This window comes from Homo sapiens, chromosome 6 (genome assembly GCF_000001405.40).
Source record: "Homo sapiens chromosome 6, GRCh38.p14 Primary Assembly".
Classification (NCBI taxonomy): Eukaryota; Metazoa; Chordata; class Mammalia; order Primates; family Hominidae; genus Homo; species Homo sapiens.
The window spans coordinates 87,674,319-87,702,283 of NC_000006.12; the positions used below are offsets into that span (position 1 = coordinate 87,674,319).

Consider the following 27,965-nt stretch of genomic DNA (forward strand, 5'->3'; position numbering starts at 1 on the left):
AAAAAAATTCCTTTTTCTTCTAACTTGGTCAGTTATAAATGTGTATTTAAGATTGTCTTAAATTTTGGAAATATGCTACTAGAATTCAACAAATGAATTCACTGAAGCATGTTTTTGCTTACTTCATTATAAGAAAGCTATGTCTAGAAACCATGTATGGAAAGGGAGTCAAATTTGCTGAATCATGCTTTTGCATATCAAGTTCTTAAAAGAAAAAACTGGATCCTACTGATATCTGAGGTAATTCTATAGCAATTAAAATACCTGTAACATTCTATCAGGCAGTAAGTTACAGAAGAAGGAATTTATATATATATATATATATTTTTTTTTTTTTAGTAGAGATGGGGTTTCACTGTGTTAGCCAGGATAGTCTCGATCTCCTGACCTCGTGATCCTCCCGCCTCGGCCTCCCAAAGTGCTGGGATTACAGGCATGAGCCACCGCGCCCAGCAGAAGAAGGCATTTAGAATCAGAACTCAGTGTTTTGAAACAGCACTCAAATCTTAGAAAATTAACTTCACTGATTCCTGGAAAATGCTTACGTTTTAAAACACCAACTTTATTCAAATACTAACCCCATCTGTACATTAAGAAACAAGCAAAATAGAAGTAAATGTTTTATTCTTCCAACTAAATTCCAGTACTACAAGGGCAGTAAAACAATGATACACTGGAAAAAAAAAAATGCAGCAATAAACATTTGTTAAAAAGACTGATAGAATAAATAAAACTACAAAAAAAAAAAAAATCATACAAACCCATTCTGAAACCCCAAGAAGTCCTGGAATACAGAAATGCCCTCCTCCTTCACTATTTCACAGGAAGCACTGCAGGCTATTTGCTTAATATTGTCCTGGGATTACATTCTAAAATTAGTAACTGGTTACAGCTCGGTTGTAGTGCACAATTAAAATCACACTAACTTCATCTGAAGTGTCATTCTACAGTTTTATTTACACAACCAGTGAAGGGCATGTTCTAGAATACCAGCTTTAATCCTTTTCAAACATTAATATAAGAAGCCAAATTGTAATGATACAGCAAAATGAGGCCACTGGTATTAATACAGGTAGCAAAGGTCCACATCCAGGTGGTACTGACATCAGGGAAATTTCCAAAACCAGTTGCTGCTGCCTAAGAGTGGTTGCCACTGACGAAAGCTTGAAATAACCTGTATTCACAGAAGGGGTATTGGCATTGCTGCATGTCATAATTGGGACCTCTTGCAACAACTCAACAAGGAACAAGGCAGCCCACAAATGCAGGATACGTGATTCATGAAACATCTAAAGGGTGAGAAAAAGAAAATTAGTGCAAAATACAGGTCAAAATCCAAACGAATACTAGATCTTGATTCCCAATTTTGCCCCTAGGTATTTAAGTAACCAAAAGACTTGCAAAGTTATGCTGCCTATTTCCTCCATACATTCTCAGTAATTTTGTTGAATTCTCTTTTTGAGTATGAAAATAATTATAATGTCTTCTCCTTAAAAGACAGTCTTATTTTCAGTTTATAACTTCAAAGGTGAAATACTTACAGCTAGCAGGCTGTTCTCCATATCGTCGCATTATTTGATCATGCGTAAACTTCACAAACGCATCATATTGTTCTATAAATAAAGGTACTTGTCAATTACATTTGTAAAATGCCTTATTAGAGCCAGATAAACTGAAAACACAAAATATACAGTAAAACAATTCTAAGTTGACAAAATCACTTACATAACCTCAGTAGTACTAATAGTGTATCAAATAAAAACAGCATGCAACTTATTAGTCAGGAAACCTAGGTTTTAGTCCAATCACATGACCTGACATAAAGGCTAGGTGAGATTTATTTATTTCCTAACAAAAAGGCTGGGACCGGGTGCGGTGGCTCACGCCTGTAATCCAAGCACTCTGGGAGGCCGAGGCGGGCGGATCACAAGGTCAGAAGATCGAGACCATCCTGGCTAACACGGTGAAACCCCATCTCTACTAAAAATACAAAAAAATTAGCTGGGCATGGTGGCAGGCCGCCTGTAGTCCCAACTACTCGGGAGGCTGAGGCAGGAGAATGGCGTGAACCCAGGAGGTGGAGCTTGCAGTGAGCCAAGAACGCGCCACTGCACTCCAGCCTGGGCAACAAAAAAAAAAAAAAAAAAAAAAAACGAGGCCGGGCGCGGTGGCTCACAGCTGTAATCCCAGCACTTTGGGACGCCGAGGCGGGCACATCATGAGGTCAGAAGATCAAAGCCATCCTGGCTAACATGGTGAAACCCCGTCTCTACTAAAAACACACACACACACACACACACACACACACAAACATAGCTGGGCATGGTGGCACACACCTGTAGTCCCAGCTACTCAGGAGGTTAAGGCAGGAGAATCGCTTGAGCCCGGGAGGCAGAGGTTGCAGTGAGCCAAGATCGTGCCACTGCACTCCGGCCTGGGCGACAGAGTGAGACTCCATCTTAAAAAAAAAACAATTGGCCGGGCATGGTGGCTTACGCCTGTAATCCCAGCACTTTGAGAGGCCAAGGCGGGCAGATCACGAGGTCAGGAGATCGAGACCATCCTGGCTAACACGGTGAAACCCTGTCTCTACTAAAAATACAAGAAAATTAGCCGGGCATGGTGGTAGGTGCCTGTAGTCCCAGCTACACAGGAGGCTGAGGCAGGAGAATGGCGTGAACCCGGAAAGTAGAGCTTGCAGTGAGCCAAGACTGCGCCACTGCACTCCAGCCTTGGGTGACAGAGTGAGACTCCGTCTCAGGAAAAAAAAAAAAAAAAATTAAAAACAAAGGACTTTCAATAAAAAGACCTTTCTACTCTGAAAGTTATTGTATGTGGTCTATGAATGGCAACTGACTGCAATGAGAATAGGATAACAAAAGCTAACAACAAAACACTACCTAAAACCTGATCAAGTATCACAGAAAAAGTTGTTATATATCTAAGCAAATTATCTTCTCTACATTAACACCTCTATATTAATTCCTTAAAATAAAAAAGCTTACATATCTATATAAACAGTAAATCTGTGGCTAAACATTCTATTTATGTTACCATACATAATAAATTTTATTTACTTAAATTATCAAATTTTACTGAATTTTTTGATAACTAAAACAGGACTCCAGTTTGATACTCCAATGACTTACACAGTGACAGCCAATTAGATATTTTAAATGTCTACATTGATGGTAACGTTATGAAAAATATAAAGTCAAAAAATCCACAACCAAATTGAGGTAAACTACTAACATCAGTTTTTAGTACAGGGTACCTACTAATATTACTGCTGATCTACACGGCTAGCCAATACTCTTTTCCTCAGGTTACCAAGGCGGGCATGAGCTATAAGAAGGTTAATTTTCTTTCCTGAACTGAAATTTTCTCATTCTCAGAGAATATACCGCACCAGTGTATAGAAAGTGAAATTAAAGTACACGTGGAAAATGCATTTCACACAACTGAGTTCCTCAGAAACTCTAATAAACACACCTCATACCTGCAAGTTTTGTGTTCAATATTTCTTCATATTCTTCTCGAACTTTCTCTTCACGTTCTTTCAACAAACGTTCACAGATCATCCCAACCTGCCGTAGAGTAAATAAGGGCTGTTCTTTTTTTAATGGTGAGGATGCTGCAGATGAAGTCCCTATGTACAATGAGGACAAAAAATAGCACCTGGTTTAGAGCCATGATATAAAGCAGTTTCTAAATGAAGAGGTTTTATTTGGATCTCTTCAATCTTGATATAAAAGCATTTTAAAATCAGATTTTAAGCACAGCATTTCACAAGTCTTAAAACAACCAAAATAATAATTCCATCAGCTGGTGACGCTGGAAAAACACGGCAAGATGTAATTAAGATAAAAAAGACTAAAGGTGAGTAGAAAAAACTTTAAGACATAAGAAAGGTTGGGCGTGGTGCTCACCGCCTGTAATCAGGCCGAGGTGGGCGGATCACCTGAGGTCAGGAGTTTGAAACCAGCCTGGCCAACATGGTGAAACCCTGCCTCTACTAAAAATACATAAAAAAATTAGCCAGGCATGGTGGCGGGCACCTGTAATCCCAGCTACTCGGGAGGCTGAGGCAGGAGAATCACTTGAACCCGGGAGGCGGAGGTTTCAGTGAGCCGAGATCACGCCATTGCACTCCAGCCTGGGCAAAGAGAGTGAAACTCCATCTCAAAAAAATAAAAACAAAAAATTAAAAATTAAATTTAAAAAAGACATAAAACTTAAACATTACAATGATGGGTCCCATTACAAAACATCTTATCTCCTTTCTGGAAAATACCATACCATGAAGTATTTTAGTGACTAAATTACTTTCCTACACTAGGAATGAAGAACACCTCAGGTCTAAATTTAATTTTATTTAGTCCCAGAATAACAAATCATTATGCCTGTAAAAAGACACTTAGTCTTCAAAGCCATACCATTAATATCTTAAGAGCCTACACACAATGAACTGGTAATTATTCTACCATCATTTCACACCTTTAGAAAGGGGTTTTCCTTTATTGAAAAAGAAAATACGCCGGGCATGGTGGCTCACGCCTGTATTACCAGCACTTTGGGAGGCCGAGGCAGGCGGATCACCTGAGGTCAGAAGTTCAAGACCAGCCTGACCAACATGGAGAAACTTAGTCTCTACTAAAAATACAAAATTAGCCAGGCGTGGTGGCACATGCCTGTAATCCCAGCTACTTAGGAGGCTGAGGCAGGAGAATCGCTTGAACACAGGAGGCGGAGGTTGCAGTGAGCCGAGATCATGCCGTTGCACTCCAGCCTAGGCAACAAGAGTGAAACTTCATCTCAGAAAAAAAAAAAAAAAAAGAAATTTCATGTTGGCACAATAAATTTTTATGTTTAAAAAAAGAAGGTACAGCATGAATCCTTTTTAGAAAAGATTAAAAAACATTCTGGAACCTAGCTTGTGTGGTGGCTCATACCTGTAATCCCAGTACTTTCTGGGAGGCCGAAGCAGGTGGAACCCTTGAGCTAAAGGCCAGCCTGCGCAACATGGCAAACCATGTCTCTAATAAAAATACAAAGATTGGCTGGGAGTGGTGGCACGTGCCTGTAGTTCTAGCTACAGGCTAGGCTGAGGTGGAGGTTGCAGTGAGCCAAGATCTCACCACTGTACTCCAGCCTGGGCAACGGAGTGAGACCCTGTCTCAAAAACAAAACAAAACAAAACAAGACATTCTGAAATCTACTTTGCTGGAGAAGCATAAATGATTCTAAAGGTTTTTGAACTCATTGACCACTAATTCCCATTAAGTTAACAACAATTCGCATGGAAAAATAAGCTCAAGCATTGAGCTGATAATGCTATGCTCAAAACTCTATACCATAGAACTACACTGTCATCACACTAAGAATCCCAAAGCAGCTGCAACATCAGCATCTGTCAATTTCAAATATTCCTTCAGCATTTTTATACCTATTAGGATATTTTTAATAAAAGAGAAAATATTTTGTAGTAATAACATCTACTGTAATACTGCTAAAAGTATTTTATACATATTCAAGTGCACCATTCGTTACCAATTGTTTCTTCATCTCGCTCTGTGAATTTGCCCTGGTACCACCAATATTACTTACTCTCTTAACTTGCTCCTTATAACCTGCATGGCAGGAGCTAGTTAACTATGCTTATTAGAACTGTGCATACCACAATAACAAAGCCCACCAGCTTTATTCCATAATTATCCAAAGCCATCTTAATTTACTTTCACATTCCCAGCTTTGTTACTTAAGACTGCCAGTTAACTGATCTTCTAAGTAAAGTGAGTAAGGAAATAATGATCTTGGTTTCCTGCTAATACAGTCTAGTGCCCAACCCTCACCTCTATGTTTCAACCACTAATACCTGGCCCCCACAATGGGCATGGCAGTATTTAGTTTTGAACAAGTTCATGTTTCCTAATCTAATTTTATTTGACTATGTTATGGTCTTTGATTTTTTTTTTTTTTTTTTTTTTGAGTCTCATTCTGTCACCCAGGTTGGAGTGCAATGGCGCGATCTCTGCTCACTGCAAGCTCTGCCTCCCGGGTTCATGCCATTCTCCTACCTCAGTAGCTGAGACTACAGGCGCCTGCCACCATGCCTAGCTAATTTTTTGGATTTTAGTAGAGACGGGGTTTCACTGTGTTAGCCAGGATGTTCTCGATATCCTGACCTCGTGATAAACCTGCCTTGGCCTCCCAAAGTGCTGGGATTACAGGCATGAGCCACCGCGCCCAGCCGCAAATTTTTTTATTCTGCCAGGTTTTCCTTCCCTTGCTAGGGGGAGGAGAGAAAGCGTTGAACAAAGGCAACTGTTGTCACAAGAAAAGCTATTTTCCTGAGAACTTTACTAAAGATAAGAGCCACTATTGATGGCTCTCTCTCAGCAAAACCTTCAACTTTCTCTTTGCTTCAAGTAGCCCTTATTCCCCGCCCCCCCCCTTTTTTTTTTTTTTAAAAAAAAGGAAGGTTATTTGCAAACATTCCCCCCAACAAAAAGTAGGTAAAAACAGATACAGGATCAAAAAATAATAATAATCCACCTTTAGAAATCTAGCCCAATAAGACAAGTGTGTGAGGCAGGGTATGTATACAGGGATAGTTCTTAAAATACTATACCAGCAAAACTTCTAAGTTGAATTATCTATCATTAAGTGTTCAGTCATGACAAGGTACATCTATACCTAACAAAGGAGCATACAGTATTGTTATTATTTTTTTTTTTGAGACAAAGTCTCACTCTGTCGCCCAAGCTGGAGTGCAGTGGCATGATCTCAGCTCACTGCAACCTCCGCCTCCTGGGTTCAAGTGATTCTCATGCCTCAGGCTCCCGAGGGGCTGGGACTACAGGCGCGTGCCACCACGCCCAGCTAATTTTTCTATTTTCAGTAGAGACAGAGTTTTGCCATGTTGGCCAGGCTGGTCTCAAACTCCTGACCTCAAGTGACCTGTCTACCTCGCTCGGCCTCCCCAAGTGCTGGGATTACAGGCATGAGCCACCGTGCCTGGCCTATTGTTAATTTTTTTTAATAAAGGCTACAAATCATAGTACTTACAGGATGTCCACTTTGGGGATATTATATGCAGGTGGTTGTCTCTGGTTAGTGGGAATCCAGTGGTAACTCCTTATTTTGTACCATATTATTTTTTAAGATGTCATGCATTACTTGTATAAATGTTTTTTTAAAACTCAGAGGAGATACAGTAGCTTAAATGACTAAAGACAACTTGGATTAGACTTTTCCCACTCTAAATAATAAACTTTGTAAATGACAAGAAATGTTATTACCTGGTGAAGCTGGTCCACTGAGGAGAAATGCATGTGGCTGTGCATCAGAAGTACAACACGGATCTGTCTGTTGGAAACTCGTTTCTAAATGTCTTCTCTTCTGCATTCGTTTATACTCTTGTTTTATGTTGTACAGAATTTGTTCTAAAATAAAAAAGTTAAAATTTGGCAAGATAAAAACTTTCACATTAAAAAAGAGGTTGGCTTTCCAACATTATTTAGTAGACCAATCTACCCAAAATACTCCTTTCAAATAATATCCAGAAAACTGACATTTTGGTAGGAACTCATTTCAGCATAAATGGGGACATTCACTTAGCACATACACACCAACTGGAATTCAGCTGTTCAACAATATTCTTGCTGAGCACTGACTAGCAAAAATAAAGTTTTTCAGTCAAAATAATGGTCAAGGAGTCTGTGAACCAAAACACCTATTTTACTCAGATTCTTAAGAGTTCCAAACTTAAAGCTCATTTATTCATCACATAGAACTATTACACTAACAGGCTTTTCCAACTGCCTTTACTGCCTTTATGCCTTTTCCAAGCCCATAAATAAGAAGGGGCTTGGGAGATTATGTATATTCAAGCACACAACAGTCTGAAGTGATAATAGGTCAACAAAATGACAAAGTAGATGGGAACTTAAAAAGTCATCATACATTAAATGGCCATGGCCAATTATTTTAAGCTCAATAAAACCTAAGAATACTACAGCATTCTGAATCTTGGGGCTGGAGGGTAGGGTGAGGGGGAGACCATGTAAAGTGATTGGTACATGACAGGTCCTCAATAAATAAGAACCACTATACCACAGTGCAATTATCTTGAACCACAATCACACAAATGAGTAAAATTATATCTGGCACATCCTTTAGGCCACTATGATTCATTTCAGAAAGATTTCTAACTCAAAATAATTACCATCTGGCCCCTCCAGAAAATCCCTGCCTAGGGGTTTCCACTCCCCTTCCAGACTTCCTCACTACACCTCCATACTCCATAGCTCCCAAGTTAACAGGTTATCAATGTGAAACTACATCCCTAGAAGTTTACTAACCAAAATCCAAAGCAAGATTAAACAAAAATGAAATTTTTAGGTGGCAATAAAAAGACTGATAGAGTGGAGTGTAGCCTTAACATTCAATTCTACAATGATGCATTAATTTAAGAACTGTTAGATATTGGTCAAGTGTGGTGGCTCAACACCTGTAACCCTGGCACTTTGGGAGGTCAAGGTGGGAGGATCACTAGAGGCCAAGAGTTCGAGACCAGCCTGGGCAACATAGAGGGACCGTGTCTTTATGACACACAAAAAAGAAAGCTAAAGATTTACATACAATAATTCTTTTTAAAATTTAATACTGGTGGTTTTCGTAGATAACCACCATATCTACAAAATCCTGTCACTTATTTTCTCACTTTATTTCCCTAGGAGAAGAACTTTTAGAATTTTTGAGAGACTCTGGGAGGACAAATAAGTTCCTTAAACATTTTAGATACTGCCTGTTTCATTATTTAAACTGAAAAAAAAGTGGCAAGACATATCCAGTTAAAGATACCATTTACATAAATTTTGTTGTATAAAAAGACCTGTTTATACATACACGAATGTGCAGTTTAAGTACAAAATCACTCATTCATGTGTACATAAACAGGTCTATAATGATTAATTTCAGGATGGTTATGTCGGGGTGCTTTAGCTGTATTTAACATTTTTCATTTGTTAACATTTGTTTAATACGGGTTATGCTCATTTTCAGTTCTTTTCCATTTATTTGAACTACTTTGTAATTTGAAAACAAAGTTACTCCAATCGAGTGACAGTCGTTAAATTATTAAATTATCAGTGTTGGCATGAAACAGTTGTCTACTGAATGGTAAGCATACCTTGATATAAATGGGTTTCCTAATATTCACCAGAGGTACCCAATAAAACTAATGTAACATCCAGTATCAACCAGGATAAACACAAATATCCTCATTTTTTAATAACAGACCTCTTTTCAGTAACAACAATCTAAAGGGTTTTTCTTTTCTTTTCTTTTTTGAGATGGAGTCTTGCTCTGTCACCCAGACTGGAGTGCAGTGGCGTGATCTCAGCTCACTGCAACCTCCATCTCCCAGGTTCAAGCAATTCTCCTGCGTCAGCCTCCCAAGTAGCTGGGACTATAGGCTCGAGCCACCATGCCCAGCTAAATTGTATTTTTGGTAGAGACAGGGTTTCACCACATTGGTCAGGCCGGTCTCGAACTCTTGACCTCAGGTGTTCCACCCTCCTCGGTCTCCCAAAGTGCTAGGATTATAAGTGTGAGCCACCGTGCCCAGCCATTCTATTTTGCTGAGAGAGAGTAAGCTTCACTCATATTCATCACTTTCTGTCCAAAGCTACCATTATCCTGATCAAAAGTGCCATTCAAAACATCATAAAATTTATTTATAACCAGAGATGTTAAGAGGTACTAGTTTGGAGTAACTTGACCTTAATATTTATCTTTTGTGTGACTTATATACGTTCTTTTATCACCACATAGCTGTTCTCAGATTTAGTCTTACTTCTGCTTCACAAGTCAACCAAAGCACAACTAAAATGTACCAAAAGAATGCTTGTATAATAACAACCTCAATTTGTTCATTTGATAATCTCAAATGAAAGCTAACCCAGAATTAAGAAACGGTAAAACTTTTAAAAATTTTATCTTTGTAAAACTCCATACCATCAGATACTTAGGGACATCACTAACAATTTTAAGGTATAATTTACAAATGACAAAATTCACCAATTTAAATGTACAATCCATTTGAGTTCTGACAAGTACATACATACAGTTTTGGAACTAACGTAACTATGATAAATAACTTTTTATCACTCCAAAAACTTCTCTTGGGCTTCTCTGCAGTTAATTCACTACCAATATCACCACTCCCCCATACAGTCCACCAACACTCATCTGCTATTACTACATAGTTTTGCCTTCTCTAGAATTTCACATAAATAGAATCATAAAGAGTGTAGACTTTTATGTCTGAACTACTTTCACTCAGCAAAATGCTTTTGAGATTCATGTATGTTGCATGAATCAGAAATTCCTTTTTATTGGTGAGTATTCCATCATATGTATGTATATATACACACACAGCTAGCCTTTCTCCTGTTAATGGACATTTAGGCTGTTTCCAATTTGGGACTATTACGAATATTCAAGTACCAGTCTTTGGTGGACATGTTTTCATTTCTCTTGGATAAATACCTAGGAGTGGGAATGGGCTGCCTAATCATATGGCAAATGAAGGGTTTATTTTGTTCTTACAAAATAAAATTGCTAAACCATTTTCCAGAGTGATTTTGTCATTTTGCATTCCTACCATAAAAGTATTACAGCTCCAGCTGTTCCACATCCTTGCCAACACTTGATATTGTCAGCTAAAGAGCTGAAGAATTTTTAATACTATTGCCTGCATTGCTTTTTACATCTAATATGATGCAACTATGTCATCTAAGCCACACTGTGCCCTCAAATGCTCTAATACTGGTAACATGTGATCAACAATGTTATGCAGTGAAGGGTCCAATTTAACTTGGCCAAGATCTCAACTGCACAAGTAGCAAACAGCTAACTGCAATGGCCTCAAGCTCAATTTATTTCAGTTCAGGGATATAAACAGTCTTGAAGCTGATAACTCAAGAAATTTCCTCAGATTCAATATTCTACAACTACATTGCTAAGCTCGATCTAGATACTTGGCTAACCTGAGTTGCTTTCATACCAGGTAGATAAAGGCCTTCCATATATCAGTCAAGTACTTGCCTACTTAGTCTTAAGCTACTTAGATCTGGCCATCTCTTATCATACCAGCAAGTTAATATTTTATCCAAGGTACATGTAATATCTGACATTGTCTTGCCAACACAATTTACAGTTCATTAAAGAAAAAAGAAGTCCAAGCTTCACTTGTATTATCAGTTGCATATTCCAGTTTTAATCATATGCCTTCCTATTTGGCTTATGAGGCATAGACTGAATTTGCAGCAACCATTTAGAGCAAAATATCTAGAGTTATCTTCAAGAAAAGCTAAAGCACACAAATGGCTATATATTCTTTTTCTAAATCCTAAAAACTACCTTACTCTTTTACCATAAAATACTGCTAAATGGAAGTCATTATTAGCAAGTTCTACAACTCACAGCATTTTCATTCTCAAACCTAGTACATGACACTAAAATTGCTAATAAAATTCTCCTTAGCAGGTAGGCAGTATCAACAGGTCAGCACCTATTCCTTTGGAATATTTTTAACAACAAATTAGGAGGCCAGATGCAGTGGCTCACCCCTTTAATCCCAGCACTTTGGGAGGGTGAGGCAGGAGGATCACTTGAGGTCAGGAGTTTGAGACCAGCCAGGCCAACACAGTGAAACCCCATCTCTACTAAAAATATAAAAATGAGCTGGGTGTGGTGGCGGGCCCCTGTAATCCCAGCTACTTGGGAGGCAGAGGCAGGAGAATTGCTTGAACCCGGGAGGAAGAGGTTGCAGTGAGCTGAGATCATGCCACTGCACTGCAGCTTGGGCAACAAGAATGAAAACTCTGTCTCAAAAAAATAAATAAATAAGGTAAATGTGGAAAGAAAAGGCCTCTTTTTAGTTGCCACTGATTACTTAGGAAATGCTGGACACCATGAATAAGGTCAACAATATAAACAGGAGAATGTAGTTATGGGATAAAAAGCATAATGGAATTGATGGGGGCAAGATAAACAGCATCAAGATAAGACCAAGCAAAGGGAAGAACATGGAATTAGAAGCAACTAAAAATAAGTTTAAGGAGAACCACAAAGGAAGGGAGGTGGGGTGTCAAAATATCTTTCTAGGGTCCATAAATTTAAGTTCTAAAAATCTGACATGTGAAACTAGAAACTTCTGCTCCAGACCCACAAAGCTTTACTATTTTCCTCCAGACATCATTACTAGATCAAACATTACGGTTTCGCGAACAGTTTTAAGTTTAGGTGTATGGGGCCCCTCTGTACCATTTTATAGGTCAATACCATTTATTTCTCCATGGAATATCTTTGGAAAACACAAAATGAAAGTGGACCTAGAAAGACAATTCAAACAATGGAATTGAAAAAGAAATCTTGTGGCCGGGCGCGGTAGTTCATGCCTGTAATCCCAGCACTTTGGAAGGCCAAGGCAGGCGGATCACCTGAGGTCAGGAGTTCGAGATCAGGCTGGCCAACATGACGAAACCCTGTCTCTACTAAAAATACAAAAATTAGCCAGGCATGGTGGTGGGCGCCTGTAATCCCAGCTACTCGGGAGACTGAAGCAGGAGAATTGCTTGAACACGGGAGGTGAAGGTTGCAGTGAACCGAGATTGCACCACTGCACTCCAGCCAGGCGACAGAGCAAGACTTAGACTCAAAAAAAAAAAAAAAAAAAATCTTGAAAGTCTGCCAGTTCTAGTCAGGAACACAAATGATATGGAAACCTGTACATAATTAAGTAAAGAAAACTTGCAATAGTCATTAAGACTTAAAACTAAGACACACTGTTCCAAAATAACAGAGCAATGTACAGTTCTGAACTACATACTAGATACTGTCATGACTACTTTCTAAATTAAAACACACAACTTGGGCAGGGCGTGGTGGCTCACACCTGTAATCCCAGCACTTTGGGTGGCTAAGGTGGGCAGATCACCTGAGGTTGGGAGTTCGAGACCAGCCTGACCAACTCCAAGAAACCCTGTCTCTACTAAAAATACAAAATTAGCCATTGCACTCCAGCCTGGGCAACAAGAGCAAAATTCCGTTTCAAAAAAAAAAAAAAAAACACACTACTTGGAGTTGCTATGGAGACCCATCTTTATTAATTGGCTATTTTCCCAGGATCATCTCTGCAGAAACTAAAACAGTTATGTTCTCCTTGATTGAATCTTAAGGACAATATTCTTATCCAACCAAGAGCTATTGGACTATAAAGAATGAGCTGATACCATTTTAAATTCACTTTAAAATACTATTATTTCACTGGTACATATAGCCAATGATTACTTATTTGAAAGAAACGACTCAATTTGTTATAACTCTGCAGGTAAATGTAAGTTTTACACCTCCAGCTTATATTACACTAAGGGGATACATTAACCTTGTTGCTATTGTTATGTAGCTCTTAACTACTTTTAAGTATTTTCTCAAATAACTTACAAGCTATCAAAATAGAGTAATAACAAAGAAAGCATGGCTGCACGCAGTGGCTCATGCAAGGCCGAGGCAGGAGGATCACTTGAGGCCCGGAGTTGGAGACGAGCCTGAGCAACAAAGTGAAAACTCTATCTCCACCAAACATAAAAAATAAAATTAGCCAGGTGCGGTGGCTTGCCCTTTAGTCCCCAGCTATTGGCAAAATGAGGTAGAAAGATAGTTTGATCCCAGGAGTGCCAGGCTACAGTGAGCTACAATAGCGCCACTGCACTCCAGCCTAGGCAAGAGTGAAACCTTGAGTTTTTTTTCTTGTTTTTGTGGGGGGACAGAGTCTCGCTCTGTCGCCCAGGCTGTAGTGCAATGGTGTGATCTCAGCTCACTGTAACCTCCACCTCCTGGGTTCAAGCGATTCTTCTGCCTCAGCCTCCAGAGTAGCTGGGATTACAGGTGCCCGCCACTATGCCCAGCTAATTTTTGTATTTTTAGTAGAGACAGAGTTTCACCAGGTTGGCCAGGCTCGTCTCAAATTCCTGACCTCAGGTGATCCTCCCGCCTCAGTCTCCCAAAATGCTGGGATTACAGGCTGATCCATCGTGCCTGGCAAGACCGTGTCTTTAAAAAAATAAAAAAAAAAAATGCCAGGCACAGTGGCTCACGCCTGTAATCCCAGCACTTTGGGAGGCCAAGGCAGGCGGCTGACCTGAGGTAGGGAGTTAAAGATCAGCCTGACCAACATGGAGAAACCCCATCTCTACTAAAAATACAAAAAAAAATTAGCCAAGCATGCTGGCATGTGCCTGTAATCCTAGTTATCCGGGAGGCTGAGGTAGGAGAATCACTTGAACCCGGGGGGAGGTGGAGGTTGCAGCGAGCCGAGATTAAGCCAATGCACTCCAGCCTGGGCAACAAGAGTGAAACTCCGTCTCAATAAAAAAAACACACAATAAATGGAGAAGAAGGGGAAATTGAACTGCCCCAAATCCAAAACCCAACATGTGCATGCTACAGAAACATTTGGTTCCAAGGCAGAAGGTTCAGCTTCTATTCCAATTAACCACAGCCACAGGGCCAATGTAATGTGTATTTACCTGCAGGGTTTTAACAAATTGAGTAATTTACTTCAAATAAGTAGCACTAGCTATACAGTACCAGTGAAATGAAAGAATTTGACCTTGTAGTGATTCTAGTTGTTCCTCCTCCTGCAGGGAAGATAAATGAATGCCTTTTATACAGTTAAATATTATATAAGTATAAATGCAGAACCTAAGCCAGCTTGCAGAGACTGAGAAGGCAGACTCTTTGAGGACTCCAGTACACCACGATCAAGCTGAAGAACAAAACAATCTCCTATAACAACTTGTTCAGGCACCCCCCAAAAAATTAGCATACCCGGGCCAGGCGCGGTGGCTCATGTCTATGATCCCAGCACTTTGGGAAGCCGAGGCGGGTGGATCACCTGAGGTCAAGAGTTCGAGACCTGCCTGGCCAACATGGCAAAACCCCATCTCTACTAAAAATACAAAAAAATTAGCCAGGCAAGGTGGTGCATGCCTGTAATCCCAATCGCTTAAACCTCGGAGGCAGAGGTTGCAGTGAGCCGAGACAGTGCTACCGCACTCCAGCCTGGGCAACAGAGTGAGACTCGGTCTCAAACAAAAAAAGCATACCTGGAACCAGGATTTGCAAAACTGATGACTAACAGGCCAAACTCAGCCCCATGGACATGATTTTTTTAAAAACATGTTAATTTGTGGCCATTTAAAAACTGGGTGGTTTTACACATAAAGTCAGACTTCTGACTACTCTTGGGAAAACCAGATAACACAGCAAAACTCAGCTGAAGATTCAAAGTGACTGTTACCTTTTGGGCCTAAGTTCTCAAGTGCTTCTACAATTTTAATGCACACACAGATTACCTCCAGATCTTGTTAAAATGTAGACTCTGAAGGGTGGAGCTTAAGATTCTACGTTCCTTATGAGGTGATGCTGCCGGTCAGGACTGGAATTCACTAGTTCCCTCCTAGTTTACTTTAAATCATTTACACATCTGGAACTATGCGTATTTAAAGTTTCTAGCCCCTGCTTAAAATAACAACTCTCTTGGCCACGGGCGGTGGCTCACGCCTGTAATCCTAGCACTTTGGGAGGCCAAGGCAGTTGGTCACTTGAGGTCAGGAGTTGGAGGCCAGCCTGGCCAACATGGTGAAACCCTGTCTCTACTAAAACTACAAAAAAATTAGCTGAGCATGGTGGCAGGAGCCTGTAATCCCAGCTACTTGGGAGGCTGAGAATCGCTTGAGCTTGGGAGGCAGAGGTTTCAGTGAGCTGAGATGACGCCATTGAACTCCAGCCTGGGCAACAACAGCGAAACTCCATCTCAAAAAAAAAAAAACCAAAAAAACAAAAAAAACCAACTCTTAATTGAACATTTTTTAAAAAGTGGTTTACTATTGGACATACTAAGGAGTGGAGAGGAAGGAAAGCAAGACATTAGCAGCAAGGTTATTACAAGTAGGAAAATACCTAAGCTAACTTAAAATCATTTTGCCACCCTCACCTGAATGGTTTTTGCAGTTGTCAGTTCATTGCTTCTCAGCCTTTTGGCTAAGATCAAGTGTAATTCTAAGTCAGACATACCCCTCCTGTAGGAGGAAAATATTCTGCAAATTAATTTAACTTGATTGGACCTACTTAGGAAAACTCATTACATGACATTAACCTATATACAATGATTATTTCATCTCTCCTTATACACTTTAAAAAAGGAAATTCATATTCGTCATTATGTGACTGATGATGAAGCAATTCATTTACTTTACCAACATGACCACTTATTAAAAAGAGGAATTAAGACCACCTCTCAGGCCAGGCACGGTCACTCATGCCAGTAATCCCAGCACTTTGGGAGGCCAAGGTGGGCAGATGGCTTGAGGTCAGGAGTTCAAGACCAGTCTGGCCAACATGGTAAAACCCTATCTCTACTAAAAATACAAAAGTTAAACGGGCATAATGGCGGGCACCTGTAATCCCAGCTACTAGGGAAGCTGAAGCAGGAGAATCACTTGAATCCAGGAGATGGAGGTTGCAGCGAGCGGAGACTGCACCACTGCACTCCAGCCTGGGCAACAGAGTGAGACGGTTTCAACAACAACAACAAAAAGACCACCTCTCACACCATAAGACACTCATTAGAAGTCTACATACATCTCTTATTTATCCCATGTATTTTGTAAATTAGTTGTGAACATTTAAAAGTCAATCGATTTCACAAAAGTTCTGACTTCTAGTGGTGGAGCGAAGGCTACCAAGATCTGACGATAAAAAGTCCAAATTAGGCTGGGCGTGGTGGCTCACACCTATAATCCCGGCACTCTGGAGGCCAAGGTGGGCAGATCACTTGAGGCTAGGAGTTGGAGACCAGCCTGGCCAACATGGTGAAACTGTCTCTACTAAAAATACAAAAATTAGCCGGGCATGGTGATACACATCTGTAATCCCAGCTACTTGGGTGGCTGAGGCAGGAGAATTGCTTGAACCCAGGAGGCAGAGGTTGCAGTGAGCCGAGATCGCACCACTGCACTCCAGCCTGGGAAACAGGGCAAAACCTCATCTTAAAAAAAAAAAAAAAAAAAAAAAAAGTCCACATTTCCCATGGCTGCAACTAAAGAGGAACTGTCTGAACCAACTGAAGATACAAATTAAAGAGACATCTGTAAATGGAAACTGAAGTCAGGAGCAGGCATGTGACTGCTTAGGGAGCTATTAAGTGACATAAGCATGGAGCTAAAGCTAGAACTAAAGAACTGCAAGGTTTAATGCCCAGGTAAAGAGAAGAACAGCTAGGGAGTAGAGGGAAATTGTAGTCAAAGGAGAAAAAGGCCATTTCAAAAAGAAAGGAGTGTGCCAGCAGGCAGAATGCTGAAAGAAAGGTCAAATAAGAGGAGGACTGATTGAGTGTCATGGAAGTCACTGATGACCTGACAGGAGCTGCTTGAGGCATGTCAGGAATTAAGAACTGAAGAAATGGAAGCAAACAGACTATTTGAAAGCTCTCTGAATTTGATTTTGAAGTGGAGGAAATCTGGAAGATAGCTGGAGGAAAATGAGTATGTTTTGTTCTTTTACTTTCTCATGGAAGGCTTGTGAATATATAAAGCCAAAAGCAAAGATCCAATTGAGAGAAGAAATGGAATAATCAAGAGGATAAAGTTACTTTGGAGAAAAGTGGAATCTTTCCCTCACTATATACAGTGCTTTAATAATTGTTTAATCCTCGATGATACTAGAACAGGACAGGCTCAAATGTCAGTAGTGCTGGTACTAAAAACAATGAAAAAACTGTGATTTGATGGCAACTCTTTTGTAGAAGGCAGGCTTAGTCACTGAAAGGCAAACTTGCTGGTGAGTAAAAGTCCCATTTGAGGTTGCCTTCTTGAGACCATTTCCATCACTTGGCCAGTAAATGCTCTTAATTCTCACAACCCTAAGAGGCATATGCTACTATCATCATGTGCACATTTCCTGAGATGAGAAAAATGAGGCTCTGCTTCAGTGTCTTCTGCAATGTCACACGGCTTGAACATGGCAGAGCCAGGTTTGACCTCAGGGCCCAAGTTCTTAACATCTACTACCCTCTCCAGTAGTACATTACTACACTTAATCAAAATTCTATTAGCATTTAATGTTAAAATAAATCACAATGGGCTGGGCGCGGTGGCTCATGCCTGTAATCCCAGCACTTTGGGAGACAGAGGTGGGCAGATCACCTGAGGTCAGGAGTTCAAGACCAGCTTGGCCAACATGGCAAAACCCTGTCTCTACTAAAAATACAAAAATTAGCTGGGTGTGGCGGCGCACGCCTGTAATCCCCGCTACTCAGAAGGCTAAGGCAGGAGAATCGCTTGAACCCAGGAGGCAGATTGCAGTGAGCCGAGATCGTGCCACTGCACTCCAGCCTGGGTGACAGAGTAAGACTCTTGTCTCAAAAATAAATAAATATCACAACGAGGAAAGTTAATTTTTAGAAAACAGGAGTTAGAATAGACATCAGTACTATGCATAATTTATACTTTCATACACTGAAACTTCAAAAAATGGGATTGTCAAGAAGGCAATAACTGGTCGGGCGCAGTGGCTCACGCCTGTAATCCCAGCACTTTGGGAGGCTGTGGTGGTCGGATCAACGAGGTCAGGAGATCAAGACCATCCTGGCTAACATGGTGAAACCTCATCTCTACTAAAAATACAAAAAAGTAGCCGGGTATGATGGTGGGCACCTGTGGTCCCAGCTACTCGGGAGGCTGAGGCAGGAGAATCACTTGAACCCAGAAGGCAGAGGTTGCAGTGAGCGGAGACTGCGCCACTGCACTCCAACCTGGGCGACAGAGTGAGACTCCATCTCAAAAAAAGAAAAAGGCAATAACCAAAATGAAGCATAACTCTCATCTAATGAGACCCCTGAAACAGCAATGACTAGCTATAAAAAAAAATTGTAACACCTCTTCATGTTACATCCAGAAATGTATATAAGGGATGCTTCAAGACTCTAAAATGCCTCATCTTAGGACAGGTATTTATATCTAGCCAGAATGCTTTATTGGTGTTTTAAAAGTTAAGAAATGGCCGGGCGCGGTGGCTCACGCCTGTAATCCCAGCACTGTGGCAGGCCCAGACGGGCGGATCACGAGGTCAGGAGTTCAAGATCAGCCTGACCAACATGGTGAAACCCTGTCTCTACTAAAAATACAATTAGCCAGGTGTGGCAGTGCGCACCTGTAATCCCAGTTACTCAGGAGGCTAAGGCAGGAGAATCGCTTGACCCCAGGAGGCAGAGGTTGCAGTGAGCTGAGATTGCGCCACTGCACTCCAGCCTGGGCGACAGACTGTGACTCTGTCTCAAAAAAAAAAAAAAAAAAGTGAAGAATTATTCCAAGTTGATAGGTCAGTATTTCCACACATGTACAACTAATTACAATGCCAGGCTCTGATAATGCACTATTTTACCCTGGGCTATGAAAGATTGTCACAGTGAACATCAAGTCCCCCTCTCTATCATAGCAACTAAAATCTTCTATACTTTAAATCAAGTATACCACTTAGAAAAGTTCTTCTAGATAATCATATTTTAGTAGGAGGAACAAGACAATCTCCTATCATAATTAAAAGGCACAGTTCAGGGGGACAGTAATGTTTGAAAAATTGGCTTTCTTCAAACTTCACTGTACATTCTACTCTTCATTTACTCATCAGTTCAACAAAAATAAACAAAAGAAAAATCCAAGTCCCTCTCTCAAACCATTCCAACTAGTTTGATTTTTTTGAGGGAGTTTTACAAGAATTAACATTAACAGAAATGAAAATGAATGCTAACCAAAGTGAGAATACACATCATATACTGACACAATTTCAGAAACTTAGTAAACAAGCCTTAACACTTTAAGGAAAAAAACTGTTTCAAAAGTGATTTAATCAGTAAACCAATTTCAATATTTAGGCTATCAAAGGGGAAATGAATACTAATGTGGAAAAATATTAATAAGAAATGAAAATAGGTATACTGATAAAGCATAAAGTGCTAGCTAATAAAGTATCAACAGTGGCTGCTCTATCATCAGTCTCTCAAGAGAGACTCTTACTCTTCTTTGCCTAGCCAGTGCAGTATCTAGAACTCAAATGAGGTTCATAAGGGTTCGAACAAGTGACTTCTAGAAGAAGAATTTAAATGTTTTAATAATGTTAAGAAATCCAGGTACATCAAAAGACCTAAAAAGTCAAATCCAGAAGTTGTATTTAATGGAAAGATTACAATGTTAATAAAATCACAATAGCCACTAGTACATCTCAAGATGATCTGCCTGTGACACTTGTGACAGATAAAAACTAAAGGGAAAAAAAGCTACACCCCAAGACAAACTAAAAGTATATTATTATGAGCTGCTTTCTTAGTGCTAGAAAGTTTACCACCCAACAAAGCCTACCATCACAAGAAATATTACAAAAATTGTTATACTGTAAAATCCTCATCACCAAAAATATTACAAAATCTATTATACTGTAAAATTCTGATTAATAGGCCCAAAATAAATATCAAAGCTGAAAAACTAACATCCACTAGAATTTTAAATTACCTGCAGGGATTCCCTGCTTAATATAGATACAATATCATCTCATGTGAGAAACTTGCTATAACAAATAATTCAATTTCTTTGGAAATAAATCACAACTTCTTATTAAAAAGTATTTTCTTCTAAAAATCCTGTGAAACCCTTTAAAATGTTTCTTCCAATGAGCAAATACCTGATAATAGAAAAATTCTTATACATGGGGCTACTTAAAATATTGTAATTCATGTAATCCATGTTCTCATCATTATCCAGAAAAATGAAGAGAGAAATATACTTAAAGTTCCTCAGAAAAGTATTATTCAAAGTCTTAAACTAATTGCAGTATTTATTACGACTCGTTGGAGTCACATTTTTTGTCAAAAATGTTACACATTATGACAATGTCATAGAACAGTCTAAAAAGAAAATTTGGTACAGAATTACAGGGTAAAACTGAAATTACATTTTTTTCCAACCATAGCAACTCTAAGAACCTTGGGAAATGTCAAGACTTAAGATGCCTGATAGTTTTGTATAGGCTTAAATAAATATTTTCTCTCATACCTTTTTAAAAGCAGGCGGTGCTCTCAAAGGCAAGAAATTCCCTGTAGTTTCACATATATAGAGAACGTTCTTTGAATCAACAGTGCTAGGCATAGGGTTAACACAAGGACTACAGAGACTACAAATTGCTGGTTAACTAATTCAGTGATAGGTACTTGAAAATACCTACTCCCACTCCTAATACCATTATCTAGTTTCATGAACCAACTATTCAAGAGGCCCAAACTTAACCCATGCTATTACTTCACATTCTTCTTTTATAAAGAGAAAAATCTCTTTTCAAATAGGAAAGATACTCACAACTGGGCACTTCCACTGAAGCTTTTATTCTCAATCTTTCAAAACGAAAGCTTTCTATCACTGTCTTTCTAGATCTATCAAAACACTTAGCAGAAAAAACCTGCCGGGCACAGTGGCTCAAATCTGTAATCCCAGCACTTTGGGAGGCTGAAGCGGGCAGATTGCTTGAGCCCCAGGAGTTTGAAACCAGCCTGGGCAACATGGTGAAACCCCATCTCTACAAAAAAATACAAAAATTAGCTGGGCATGGTGGCACATGCCTGTATCTCCAGGTACTTGAGAGGCTGAGGCAGGGGGATCATTTGAGCCCAGGAGGCAGATTGCAGTGAGCCGAGATTGTGCTGCTGCACTCCAGCCTGGGACAGAGCAAGACTGTCTCAGAAAACAAAAACAAAACAAAGACCCGATTAGTATGTACTACATTCTTTTTCCAATAAAGCCATTAAAAAACTGAAGAAATTTATATTATTCTCCTTTACATCTCAGGTTATGTCTCCGTGGCAACCATAGTGAATAGTACCTTCCACACCTAAAGAGGGGCTAACCTCTAATCTAGCCATGTTTAGCCTATGTGTTGCTGTGCTCAAGTTAGGCTTTATTTTCCTACCTTAATAAAAAAGCCGGGAGCTGGGCGCAGTGGCTCACGTCTGTAATCCCAGCACTTTGGGAGGCTGAGACGGGCAGATCATGAGGCCAGAAGATCGAGACCATCCTGGCTAATACGGTGAAACCCCATCTCTACTAAAAATACAAAATATTAGCCAGGCATGGTGGCGGGCACCTGTAGTCCCAACTACTTGGTAGGCTGAGGCAGGAGAATGGCGTGAACCCGGGAGGCAGAGCTTGCAGTGAGCCGAGATTGTGCCACTGCACTCCAGCCTGGGGGACAGAGTGAGACTCCATCCAAAAAAAAAAAAAAAAAAGCCAGGGAGGCCAGGCGCGGTGGCTCACGCCTGTAATCCCAGCACTTTGGGAGGCTGAGGCAGGTGGATCATGAGGTGAGGAGTTCAAGACCAACCTGACCAACATGGTGAAACCCCATCTCTTCTAAAAATACAAAAATTAGCCGGGCGTGGTGGTGTGCGCCTGTAATCCCGGCTACTCAGGAGGCTGAGGCAGGAGAATCTCTTGAAACTAGGAGGTGGAGGTTGCAGTGAGCTGAGATTGCGCCACTGCACTCTAGCCTAGGCGACAGAGTGAGACTCCGTCTCAAAACAAACGAACAAAAAAAAAGCCGGCGGCACAGGCTCACACCTATAATCCCAGCACTGTGTGAGGCCAAGGCAGTTGGACCACCTGAAGTCAGGAGTTCAAGACCAGCCATGCCAACATGGTGAAACCCCATCTCTACTAAAAATACAAAACAAAATCAGCCAGGTGTGGTGGCGCACGCCTGTAATCCCAGCTACTCCAGAGGCTGAGGCTCGAGAATCGCTTGAACCCAGGAGATGGAGGTTGCAATGAGTTGAGATCATGCCACTGCACTCCAGCCTGAGTAAGACTTTGTCTCAAGAAAAAAAAAAAAAAAAAGCTCTATATTAGTAATGAATACAACTGCAGTTTTTAATGGCCATAAACTTACAGGATTCTTAAATGCATAAATCACAGAAATATGCAGTAACTGCAGCTACATACACAGTCCTAAATAGAATATCAGGTTTAAGACTCAAAGTACAAAGACCATTAAAAACATTTATTTGCCAAATCCAGTGAGAAACTAGGAGCAACTTAACAGCTGTCTAAATAACCACAAAATATTAAAAAATACTTCTGGCTCAATGTAAATGACATCTGAAGAGAGATGCTGCCTCCTCCAACAGACGTCTCATTTGTTCGCCTAGAACCATTTATATTTCATTGAAGCCAGCTGGTGTCTCCGTTTGCAGGCATGCATCAATGTCTGGTGAACAATCTATGTTCCTGTAAACCCTTCCCCATTCACAAGCTGCAGTTTCCATTTTTAATGGCAAGTTTCCAGCAAGTACAATGAGTTCTTACAAAGGAACTTAACTCTTCACAGAATTCAATTCCTAAGGCAGATTAATGGTACCAAGCCATAAACAATGTGAATTAATGTGCCTAACAAACTCACAAATACATTAACATTCACAGAAGGGTATCTTCAGACCATTCATTCACTACATAATGAAAACAATGTGCTGGATTTGATTGACGGTCTCTTATAATGTTGCAATATTTTGGTTTTATTAAAATTCTTTCTTGGGAATGTCATGACAATCTTTTGGCTAAATGGTAGTATTATGAGATGTTTCAAAAACCAATAGTAAAGCATACTTTGGTTTTCAACTAACTTACCAGGGTAAGTATTGATGCAGCTACTAGAGGCATTCATTTCACCAACGATATTCAATGCTTCTGCTCCCCCTCCCCTTACTTCCACTGATCACTTTTCCTTTTCCATACCCAGGGGTATTATAAACCTCACTGCTGACACCCCACATGAGGGTAAGCAAACTTTTTCTGTAAACACCAGAGAGCAAATATGGAGTTTTCGGGGCAATATACTGTGTGTGACAACTATTAAACTCTGCCATCGTCACCTGCAATGAACAATACTTAAAAAAAAAAAAAAAAGAATGAGCACAGCTGTGTTCCAATAAAATTTTATTTATGGACACTGAAATTTGAATTTCACATAATTCTCACGTGTCACAAAATAATTCTTTTGATTCTTTTCCAACCATTTAAAAAATGTAAAGAACATTCTTAGCTCTCAGGCTACACAAAAATATGGCTATACTTTGTCAACCATCCCTAGACCCTGAACAGCATTTCTGAATTAGTAACACTTAGGTGTCCTAAAAAACAGGTTTGGGATAGCTGTGTGTTAAGGAGTCCCTAAAAAATTCATAATGCCAATTAGCATAATAAAGGCTCTAAGCCTTGCGGTTAAGAAAGCAAGCTTAACTTCCGTCAGCTCAGCTAGTCCTTCCTTTTTCCTAGTATTAAGTTGCAACAGTTTGAAAAATATTTAAATAAGAATAGTCAAGTCAAACTTCCTGGGATGACTAAAATGATAGCTAAGGTTTAAAACAGACATCCAAGTTCCTGAAACTAATAAAGCCACAACATGACTTCAGCTATGCCATCAGAAACTGAAAGTATCTAGAGGAGAACAATGATAAAATAAAGTGTATACATGCTCTGAAAAAAAGTCACTTTAGTACTCTAGTTCTACATTAATTTGTATTATATTTGAACTCACAGATGTGAAAGGAAAACAAAGAGTTCCCACAAGTTTGCCAATCTCAATTTGGTAAGCCACTGTCTACTTCCAAACCTAACTACTCATTTTAGTTAATGACAGATGGGTATTTACTCCCATAAAGTTTAAGAATAATCGGTGTTAAAATAGGAAGCTAAAAATCAGGTGCATGAGAAAATTATTTCCAAGTTTACTAACATGAAAACTGGGAAGCTCTTTGATACCTGCACAACACTGCAGCTCCCATTATGACATTACAAAAAACATACAGGACCATACCCCAAATTGGCCATATAAACACAAAGTCAAACTAAATTACATTTAGAATGTCATTCAAAACTACCGTTTAAAAAATGTAATTTTAGCAAGTCAAAATTTCAATTTCAACTTGTTTTCTCAAGTAAACTTTTTGCGATAATATTCAAATTAGTTTGGAAATAACTTTTAGCAGACTCAGAATCAATAAGGATGTGATTTTAGGTTTCAGGATATAATCAAACTTCCAAAGTAGATGTCAAAAAAAAAACACCTTGAAGAAAATAGCAGTATTTTGGAAAGTGAATGTGAATCTCAATCAGCTGGCTTAAACAATTCCAATAATTCCAGTCGTTTTACTACAACAGTCCAATTAATTTAAACTTGAGATAATGTGGAGCCAACTGTATTAACCAACGCTACAGATATGCCAATGAAAAGTCGTTTACAAAGGATCACAATTCTGAATAAGTGTGCTTTAAAGGGGAGGAACATGGTATAGTCCCCAATTGTTCACATACATGCCCAAGATTATTTTGACATTGAGATATAGTACTTTAATTCCCAAACCTAGCACTGTATTAATTCACTCCCTCGACTGAAATGTATTGCTGGTTAGCTCCTTAATGACCTTATTTTGAAATGGCTTTATTAGTTAAGTACAGAATCCATTTCAATTTCCAATGATACCATTTCACTAAAAGACAAATTCCAAAAATGTCAACCACCAGTAGCTCATTCTTGACATTGGCTGTTTCCTTTTTTTTTTCCCAAAGTAAAGCCTAACAATTAATCAACAAATGCCTTTTCAATCTAATTAAAACACAGTTTAGTAAGGTCATTAAATAAATTTATCTAAGAATTTCCGTAAAAACTCACTACAACTCTAAAACAGTATGTCCTTAAATTAGACCAAATATTTAATAGCAAAAATGGTAGCTTGCATATTCGAGGGTCACTCCATGGATTTAGAAAATATTTTTAAATGTGACAAAAAAAAAAAAACACTAAAGTCAGTTTCAAATGGAAGTCACCAAATACAGAGGTATATACTTCGGTTTTTTAAGCTACTGATAACGAGACATTTAAATCAAGCTATGGAAAGGCTTTGTCTAAAGGGTGATATTATTACTAAAGGCTCACACAGAAATCTTTGCATGCTACACACAAAGGAAACATTTACACTTCTAGTCCACAAAAGCCTATCCTAGGATTGTGCCAGGGGCACACAAGGATTTCAAAGTACAGAAAAAACTGGGCATACACATGCCCTACAAAGCAGCCAAAAGACATTCCCCAGTCTCTCTCAGGAAATGTTTCAAGATGAAAAGCAAAAGTCTGAAGTCCCTTGGAATCTTGGGTTGATTTCTTCATTATTCTCAAGGCTAGGTTGTTTTCCCCCAGCATACTTTGTTGGGCAAAAATAAAACATTTCCAAATAAAAGCAACTCCTCAGCCCCAATTTTCAATGCAATATGCTTATTAAAAGTTCAACATTTCTCAAGGTCTAGACTTATAGTGTGATCATATTACAGTACTCGGGAAGAGCATTTTCTTTGTTGTTGACCCTGCTAGGGAAACAGGTCTTGACTCAGCCAAAGTGGCGTTCTTGTGGGTGATTAATGACAGGCCTAGATCTCGCCCTAGTGACATCCATCCCCCACCCCCCACCCCCACTATACTAAAATCAGCCGTGTCTGAACTGAAGGAGGGGCTGTAGCCTCGCCTCAAACCACCCAGTCCCAGAGTTAATAGCTGCAACCAATCGATTACGGCAAGCACACATCCAGATTGGGGTGAAATGTGACCCTTTCGCCTAAATTTACGAATAATATCGTCCTCTCTGATCATTTCCGCTGGGGCTCCAGCGACTACGGAAACAATTCCAATCATTCGGCCCAAAGAAAAAGATGTCCCTGTTCTACCCAATACGGGCAAGGCAAAGCCCCTACCCACCTCCAAACACTATCCCCTTGACATCAGCCCATTTCTATTGTGTCTTATTAGGTCCTCGGGCTACGAGGACCTAGTGAAAAACGTGGCTGCCCTACTACTTTGCTAAGAACAAGAACCACACAGTCCGGCACCCCCACCCCAGGGGCCGCATCCCACACCCCAGGACCCCTGTTCCCAGTTCTCTCCACTACCCCGGCGGCCGCGGGGCCGGGTCCCACCTGTGGTGAGGCGGGAGGAGACGTCGCCGAAGGGGGATGGCTCCATTCGGAGATACTTCTGCGGCGAGGCGGCCGCAGCGGAGAAGGAGGCGGCGGTGGCCGCGGCCGCCGACAACGGGGAGGCAGCGGCCGAGGTGGGCGCCGACAATGGCGCACATCGCCTGCGCTTCGGGGACGCCGGGCTCAACAGCGGGTCGAAATCCAGAGTCCTTTTCAGAGTGGCTCCGCACGCCATGGCCGGGGGCAGCTGAGGCGCCGGGCTCGGGTGGGGTCGGGGACGGGTGACGAAAGAAGAGGGTGAGGGAAGGGGTGAAGAGCGGGAACTCGAGGAGAGCCTACCCGACGGGCTCAGGAGCCAAGCGGGTCGCGGAGCGCCGGCTGTGGAAAGGAGAGCCGCTGCCGCCGCTGCCTCCGCGGCAGGGGCAGTGGCCAGGGACGGCCCGGGTGAGAGCGGGAGGGGCGGTGGCGGGCAGAAGCACACGCCAGTCGCGTCAGGGGGGTTCTTCCGCCTCCTCAGGCGCGGCTCCCCCGAGAGAGGCTCCGGCCGCCCCCGCCGTCCGCTCGAGCTTTGCGCCGCGCCTGAGGCGCTTCTGTGCTGAGACTAGATCCTTTCTGAAGTCGAAAACAGCACCGTGGGGTGTGAGGCTGGAACGCGGCTCCTAATACGCCCGAGTACGGTCAGTAGCTTGCGAGCGGCGATCGATGCAGAGAGATTGCGAGGTAGCTGCCGCAGCAGGAACCCAAGCGAACACGTCCAACCGCTTCCCCTCCCTCGTAGAACTCTCCCACCCGCCGCCGGCCCCAATATGGCGTCAATAACAACGCCGCCGATTC

General features: G+C 40.7%; 2 protein-coding genes across 4 annotated transcripts in view, besides 4 other annotated features; one reads left to right on the forward strand and one right to left on the reverse strand.

The window, feature by feature from the left end:
- ORC3 (origin recognition complex subunit 3) overlaps positions 1-3,505 on the forward strand; it is an 87,689-nt gene extending 84,184 nt beyond the window's left edge. For all 3 annotated transcript variants that reach the window (XM_017010632.3, XM_017010633.3, XM_047418550.1), the window contains one exon: positions 3,396-3,505. In XM_017010632.3, the coding sequence (XP_016866121.1) occupies positions 3,396-3,426 (31 nt within the window). In that variant the 3' untranslated portion in view covers positions 3,427-3,505. The remainder of the gene's footprint in view (positions 1-3,395) is intronic.
- AKIRIN2 (akirin 2) lies at positions 542-27,915 on the reverse strand. Its single transcript, NM_018064.4, has 5 exons — positions 27,132-27,915; positions 7,302-7,445; positions 3,500-3,649; positions 1,542-1,613; positions 542-1,289 (listed from the first exon to the last, which is right to left on the reverse strand). Exons 1-5 carry the CDS (start codon positions 27,364-27,366, stop codon positions 1,279-1,281), a joined length of 612 nt encoding a protein of 203 aa, NP_060534.1. The 5' UTR covers positions 27,367-27,915; the 3' UTR covers positions 542-1,278.
- Positions 24,171-24,690: an enhancer, noted in NCBI's record as "NANOG hESC enhancer chr6:88408207-88408726 (GRCh37/hg19 assembly coordinates)". NCBI's record gives its function as "activates a minimal SCP1, AML or CMV promoter by ChIP-STARR-seq in naive H9 embryonic stem cells {active_cell/tissue: H9 hESC(naive)}" and the evidence as "EXISTENCE:reporter gene assay evidence [ECO:0000049][PMID:30033119]".
- Positions 27,087-27,296: a silencer, noted in NCBI's record as "silent region_17375". NCBI's record gives its function as "represses an Ori minimal core promoter by ATAC-STARR-seq in GM12878 lymphoblastoid cells {active_cell/tissue: GM12878}" and the evidence as "EXISTENCE:reporter gene assay evidence [ECO:0000049][PMID:35858748]".
- Positions 27,477-27,646: a silencer, noted in NCBI's record as "silent region_17376". NCBI's record gives its function as "represses an Ori minimal core promoter by ATAC-STARR-seq in GM12878 lymphoblastoid cells {active_cell/tissue: GM12878}" and the evidence as "EXISTENCE:reporter gene assay evidence [ECO:0000049][PMID:35858748]".
- Positions 27,807-27,866: an enhancer, noted in NCBI's record as "active region_24799". NCBI's record gives its function as "activates an Ori minimal core promoter by ATAC-STARR-seq in GM12878 lymphoblastoid cells {active_cell/tissue: GM12878}" and the evidence as "EXISTENCE:reporter gene assay evidence [ECO:0000049][PMID:35858748]".